This window comes from Homo sapiens, chromosome 12 (assembly GCF_000001405.40).
Source record: "Homo sapiens chromosome 12, GRCh38.p14 Primary Assembly".
Taxonomy (NCBI): Eukaryota; Metazoa; Chordata; class Mammalia; order Primates; family Hominidae; genus Homo; species Homo sapiens.
The window spans coordinates 87,442,109-87,449,952 of NC_000012.12; positions in this window are offsets into that span (position 1 = coordinate 87,442,109).

Consider the following 7,844-nt stretch of genomic DNA (forward strand, 5'->3'; position numbering starts at 1 on the left):
TTGTTTTACCACCTACCTGCTCCTCTACCTGTATGCCTTCCCCCACTTTAAGAAAATGAGCAAACACTAAACCTCCTGAAAAATATCTTTAGAAAAACAGTCACACATGTGTCTGTGGCATGTGTTTTCTGGGACATACCCTAAAGATGGCTTAATAAAAACCTTGATGATTGAAACATATGCCCTAGTCACTCTATTTGGTTGTCACTTTTTATAGCATTTCTTTCGCCTAGGTAGGGGACAGGACTCCTCTGGAATAAAGGCCTTGATTAATTTAAGGGCAGCTGTTACATAGAAAATCTAGGGAAGTTTAGAATAATATTTTTAGGTTTTACAGCTGGCTTTGGGGAAAAGGGGGTCTGGTTTCTATGATCCATCTTGGTGAAGAGGAATTCTAGTTTCTATGGCTTGACCCAGGAAGGAATGAGGGGCAAGAGACAGGAGGGCAAGAGAAGGTCAGAAAGAAACTTTGCTTCTGAGACCTCCAATCTGCAGTATCATTTTCTGAGCCCCAACACCACTCTAACTACCAATAGCTCAGTAGCATTACAAGACCCCACCACTTACCCAAAGGTAGCTTTTGGGTCAGGGTTTCTGCACTGTAATTGCTTCTTTGGTCACCAGAAAGATGTTACAGGACCCCACCACTCACCCAAAGGTAGCCATTGGTCAGGGTTTCTGCACTATAGTCCCTTCTGTGGTCACCGGAAATACATTACAGGGCCCCATCACTTACCCAAAGTTGGTGGTTTCCTCACTATAGTCCCTTCATGGTCGCCAAAAATATGTTACAGGAAAGGGATCCCAATCTAGATCCCAAGAGAGGGTTCTTGGATCTCACACAAGAAAGAATTCAGGGCAAGTCCGCAGTGCAAAGTAAAAGCAAGTTTATTAAGAAGTAAAATGGTGAAAGAACAGCTACTCTACAGAGTAGGACATTCCTGAAAGTAAGAAGTGGAATGCGTCCACCCTAGGTACAATACTCATATATGGGGAGATGTGCTCTGCTACAAGGGTTTGTGATAAAGGATTAATTTTCTTAATTACTATATTTTGCAAGAATCAATACTATTATCTTTAAAGCAAAATTAGGAATGCCTTTGTTCTCCAGATATTGGGATATCTGGACACTCCCAAATCTGGGTCTGTTTAGTAAACATTGTTAATTTGTTCCCTTAACTGTAAACATCTAAAGGTTAGGAACACCTAATTTTCTGAGAATGCAGTCCATCATTCTCAGAAATGCTGAGAATGAGTCTCAGCCTCATTTTCCTAGCCCTCACTCAAAATGGAGTCTCTTTGGTTCGAACACCTCTGACAATAATAGTACCAGTACTTGTGAATCTTAAAAAAAAAATTGTCAGGAGTGGAGAAGAAATTTTAGGAGAGAAAAGAGATGCTGAATTGGCTTAGCAAAACTACAGCCTATAATTTTCTTTTTTTTTTCTTTTTTTTAGAGACAAGGTCTTGCTCTGTCACCCAAGATGGAATACAAAGAAATGGCATGATCGTAGCTCACTGTAGCCTCAAACTCCTAGCCTCAAGCAATTCTCCTGCCCCCGCCTCCAAGTAGCTAGGACTACAGGTATGTGCTACCATGCCAGGCTACTTTGTTTTGTTTTTGTTTTTGTTTTAGAAACAGGGTCTTGCTATGTTACCCAGGCTGGTCTCAAACTCCTGGCCTCAAGTGATCCTGCTGCCTTGGCCTCCTAAAGTGCTAAGATTATAGACATGAGTCACCACACCTGGCCCAAAGACTTTTATGTTTTATGACAGTGTCTTAATTTTAAAGGTTTTGTTTTGTTGTTATTGTTTTTGAGGCAGGGTCTCTCTCCATTGCCCACACTGGAGTGCAGTGGCACAATAATAGCTCAATGCAGCCTCAAACTCCTGGGTTCAAGCAATCCTTCTGCTTTAGCCTCCTGAGTAGCTGGGACTACAGACATGCACCACGATATCCAGCTAATTTTTCTCTTCGTCCAGACAAGTTCTCACTATGTGCCCAGGTTGGTCTTGAATTCCTGGTCTCAAGTGATCCTTCCACCTCAGCCTCTTGAGGAGCTGGGCTTACAGGTGTGAGTCATCATGCCTGGCCCTATAATCTCCTGAGTTGGGCAAATTCAGTGCCAAACTAGGGACCTATGCGAGCATGAGCCACTGTTTTCTAACGCTTCCTACATCAATTGAGATATTGGCCAGTATGGGAACCTTGATACCTTCCTGTGAAAAGAAAGAATGAGCCCTAGCTGGATGACCCAACAACTACCAGAATCTTGCCCTGTTAATGAGTCAGAGGAGGAAGAGGATATAAGAATGATTTACTAAAGAGCAAATGCATGGCAAGAAGGAAAATTTAACCATAGAAACCTAGAATAAAAGAGACGCTGTTATATTTGCACATAAATAGTCTTGAACATGTGCTGCTAGTAGACCTTCACACCAAGGATTTAAAGGAAATATATGAAACTCTTTTAAGCCTAGTCCTAAGGAGAAGACTCAAGGATGAATTGTTTTGCCATAAACACATTTAAACTCTTTGTAAATGCGTGAGTTGATTTGTGTCCCTCAAAAAAGATATGTTGAAGTCCTAACCCCTGGTACCTGTGAATGTGATGTTTTTTGGAAATAGGGCATTTGCAGCTGTAATTAAGATGTTATCATACTGAATTAGGATGGGCTTGAATCCAATGACTGATGTCTTTATAAGACATTAGGCTCCTACCTGCTCACAGACCTCACAGATGCCTGGAGATAGGAGCACTATGTTCCTTAATTATATTTCAAAGGAATGACTCCCAGTTTCTTGAGAAGAACATTCCCAGGTTATAAAATTAATGAAAAGGTTTTAAAAAGATTTGCATCTCAAAGTGGTAGAGAAAGAATTTACAATTACGTATTTTCTTAAAATAAATGTTCTGAGAAAAGAAAAGTCTTGGGCCTTAGGGCAGGAAGAAACTTGACTAAAGTTAGCCAAGTTAAGGGAGTGTGAAGGGTTTCTTGGTCAGCTTCCAGAAAGAAACAACCCTGCTTCTAGCCAATACCTTGATCTCAGACTTCTAGCCTCCAAATTTTGAGAAAATAGGATTCTGTTGTTTTAAGCCCCCCAGTTGGAGGTAATTTGTTGCAGCAGGCCTAGTAAATGAGGACAGTAAACAGTGATGTGCAACTGAAGACATTTCTGGGATAGTGATGGTGATGTATTGTCACTGAGTTCCAAGAAGAAACACAAAGTTCGATTAATGAAAGCATCCTCCCCAGAAAAAAACACCACTATGATGAAGTAACATAAGAAATTATTTCAAGAGACTGAAGTAGTCTCTAAATTTAAATAGAATGGATAGTCATGCCTGAATGTTTATGATCACCTTAAACATCCCTCTTCGTTAGACGGTTTGTGTCTGCCTTTCCCTGCAAGGCATGATAAAAACAGGTCTTATTCAGCTATTTTTTCAGAACCTGATGTACAATTATACTCAAAAGATATTTATTGAATGAATGAATGTAAGAATTAAGATAGCCAGTCACAAAAGAGCATGACTACCATTTCTTTACCATCCAAAATGCAAACATCTAATTAGTAACTAAAGTTTGCTGCCTTTATTTTCTGTCAGTAAATCTCCCTTTGACATCTATTTAGTTACTGCTTTAATTGAGGTAGTATTCAAGATCTTGTTTCTACACTATTTCTATAATTTTCTTGTCTTTATGTTCTACTCTCATTCATTCATTATAGTGCTTTCAGTTATATATCTAAAAGTATGATTATTCTAAAATCCTTTAATATATTTATGCACCCTCTCAATTGTAGTGTAAACCCAAAAACTTATCTCTAATGTGCTATATAAAACTCCATGCTCCAGGAGAGTATCTGTGCCTTTTCACACTTTCTTCCCTTTACCTGGATTGCCCACTTTCACTTCCTCTACTCAATGAACTCATTTACCATCCCAAAGTCCAAGTTTAAACATCACTTTCTCCGTGAAGCCTGCCTAACATTGCCTCACTAATCACTCTTTTCCACGTATCTATTTTATCCCTCTCTTACCATATTTTAATGATTTTGTTAAAAGATTATTTCCCCTACTTGGATTATGTCTCACTTATATTAGCGTAACTTCCATCTCCTCAGGCCTTTGCCTTGTAGCAGTTGTCAATGTGGACCCTGGTGTGAGAATTATTGAATGGATTTATTTATTAATTTATTAAAAATGCAAGTATACCTAGTGAGATTAATTATAGATACTACAATATTAAAATATAAGCAACTAGAGGTCTAGGACAAAGTAACATAAGATAGTGGAGTCCCATGAAAGCATTATTCAGTAACTTTCATGTGCACTTACCAAGCTGTGTAAGATCTTAGTGTAGTATTTATAGGAGATGATGAATTCTCCAGAGAGATATCATGGAAGATAGTACCCATAAACTAATTTTTATCAAATTATAGACTCAAGCATCTCTATTTTCTATTATTTTCTTTAAAGTCTATGAATTATTTGTATTCTTAAATACCCAACTAGATTTTACACTGCTTAAGAAGTTCTGGATGGTTCTAATGATGAATATATTAATTTTTAATTTTTCATAGACATTATTTCCTAGTTAAGTTAAATAAATAGAGACCCCATGATATACCGACAATACAAAATTCCTGGAGAGTAAAATTTTTGCCAGAAAAAAATACACTTTTGTTTGCATTGTGACTCTGAGACTTTTAACACTGCCGAGAAGACCATGGCCTCTTTGGACATTTCACACAATGCAATTCATTTTAGCCATAAGTAAAATACCACAAAATTCACTAGGATATGAGACTAAAGCTAAAATTTACTTTGAAAAACCATTTCAACAAAAAGTTAAAGATAACAGTGCTAGTATGAGTTATAGGTATTATGGTTATAGGTATACTTAGGGAAAAAAGTATCTGTGATAGTTGCCATTCATTAAGTACAACTAATTAATTTGCTAATTCAAATTATTTTTTACCCTTATATTAAAATGAGTCCTCTGGGTAAAGATCACTCTCATTAGTAGTCCTGCGGACTAGACTGGATTATTTTATATCTCTTGTGGCAAAAAGAGTGTTGACTTTGGCATCAGACAAATCTGGGTTTGCATCTTGGCTGCACATGTAAAAACAGTACACCTGAAAGCATATTGCTTACTCTTTCTGAGGTTCAAAGATTTTCCAATATGTCCTATGGAAAGAAGTTCTGAATCTGATAAAGCAAAATGCCATTATTTGTTATGTAAACCTCACCCCCTCTTAAAAAAAGTTGATTATTTTATAAAACTACCATTTGTGCATTAAAAGTATATGTGTGTATGTGTAATATATGTAATTAATTAACTAGAAAATTTAATTACTTATTCTGTATGGCATGTATAGAAAGAAGGGGGATACCTGGGACTGTGCTTATTTGCTTATATTACGTGTGGGTATTTAAGAGCACGCATGCAGGTGTGTGTATGTATACTAAAATCCAGAGTGAGAAAGTGCCCACACTCCAAAATAATATTTCTAGTTGGGAAAAATATTTTAGCATTGTGGGGATTTATTGTCAACTCAGTGATATTCCTCTAATGTAAGACAATTCTCTTTTGCTTTTTATTTAATTGCTTTTAATTAAAGCATGGGACTTGTTCCTCAAAGAGTAATGAACTTTGACTTTGCCTGTCCCCTTCCACAAAGAGTACCCTTCTGAACATGCTAAGGTATTGAGTGATAATACGCAGAACAAAGGATTGGGTGGCTGTTTTTTTTTTTTCCATTTTTTCTTTTTTTTTCTTGTTTTGCATTTGACCCACTGAGATACAATGTAAGGCAATTAAAATTGTTGGTTGTACAGAATGCTAACCTGCTTTCTCTATGAGCTTATGAGCTTTTTGAATTTAATTGGCTTCTTTCTACACCACCATTCAAATGGTGACATGTCTGCTACTTAAGTTACCTGAGGATAAAAAGGAAAGATATGGGCAGTGGAATATGGAGCATCCTTGCCAAAAGCTGTCCTTTTCTTTATGGATGTCTGAGATTTATCGAGGTCATACACTATGTTTCTAATGTAGAGCATTATGCAACTTTGGGGAAATTCTTCTTAAGTGTAAATTAATTATCCTGTAATAGAGATATAGAGAAGAGAAAATAAAAGCCCAATTATTCAATAAATATGGTCAACATTAACTAGCATCACTGAATCCTCATGAAAATATAAGGAACTTTAGTAATAAAAAATGCAGCTGAGAAATACAGCTTTAGCTTCTCATTAAAAACACAGTTCAAATGCTTTCTCTTTGACGTCTTTCTGTCATGCAAAGTTAGTTCCTATTTTTTTCTGTGTTCCTGTACATTTTGCATATTTTTTCTGTATTACAGCCCCAACCTTTTCCCTGCATGCCTCCATCCTTCATTCTTCAAAAGCAGGGATCCAATATAATTCATTTTAGTATATTTAGCACCTCATGAAGAACCAGACATTTAATTCTTAGCAGGAGCTCAAAAATGTTTAACGAATGAATGAATGAAGCACTACATAGACCCACAAAGTGTGTGTTGTCATAGAATTAAATAGGGTCATTCACGATAAAAGTGACAGAAACTTATCTCAGGTTAACCTAAGCATAAATAATTATATTGGTTTATATAACTGGGATGTTGAAGAATAAAGCAGGGCTCACTTTAGTAAGTAAAAGAAAAATTATATTCTTGGGCTGAGACGATGGGGTTTTCTAAATATACAATCATGTCATCTGCAAACAATTTGACATCCTCTTTTCCTAATGGAATACCCTTTATTTCTTTCTCCTGCCTGATTGCCCTGGCCAGAACTTCCAACACTATATTGAATAGGAGTGGTGAGAGAGGGCATCCCTGTCTTGTGCCAGTTTTCAAAGGGAATGCTTCCAGTTTTTGCCCACTCAGTATGATATTGGCTGTGGGTTTGTCATAAATAGCTCTTATTATTTTTAGATACATCCCATCAATACCTAATTTATTGAGAGTTTTTAGCATGAAGGACTGTTGAATTTTGTCAAAGGCCTTTTCTGCATCTATTGAGATAATCATGTGGTTTTTGTCTTTATTCTGTTTATATGCTGGATTATGAAAAAAATTATTTTCTTACAGTTCTGGAAGAAAAATACTGTTCAAAACTGTGATAATCAGCTTGAACTTTTGGTTGACCTATCTGGGACCATGTACCTATTCCTATAGCTAGCTGGAGTTGAAGTAGGCTAAACCTAATTTAAAATGTACTCAAGGTTATCTAAAAATTCTATGAAGTCGCTATCAAATTTTCAATGACATTCTTCATGGAAATATTTTTTAAAATTCTAAAATTTATATGGAACCACAAAGACACTGAATAGACAAAGCAATCTTGAGCAAGAAGAACAAAGCTGGAGACATTACACTACCTGATTTCAAATAATATTACAAAGCTATAGTAATCAAAACTGTATGGCACTGTCATAAGAAGAGACACATAGATCAATGGAACAGAATTGAGAGTCTGGAAATAAATCCATGCATATATGGTCAATTGATCTTTGACAAAGATGCAAAGAATACAAAAGTGAGGAAAAGATAGTCTCTTCAATAAATGGTATTGAAAAAATTGGATATTCACATTCAGAAGAGGGAAATTGGACCCTTATACCATTCACGAAAATAAACTCAAAATGGATTAAAGACTTAAACATAAGGCCTGAAACTGTAAAGAATCCTAAAAGAAAACCTAGAGGGAAAGCTTTTTGACATTGGTCTTGGCAAAAGTTTTATAACTAAGATTTCAAAAGTACAGGCAACAAAAGCAAAGATAAAGAAGTGGGATTATATCAAACTA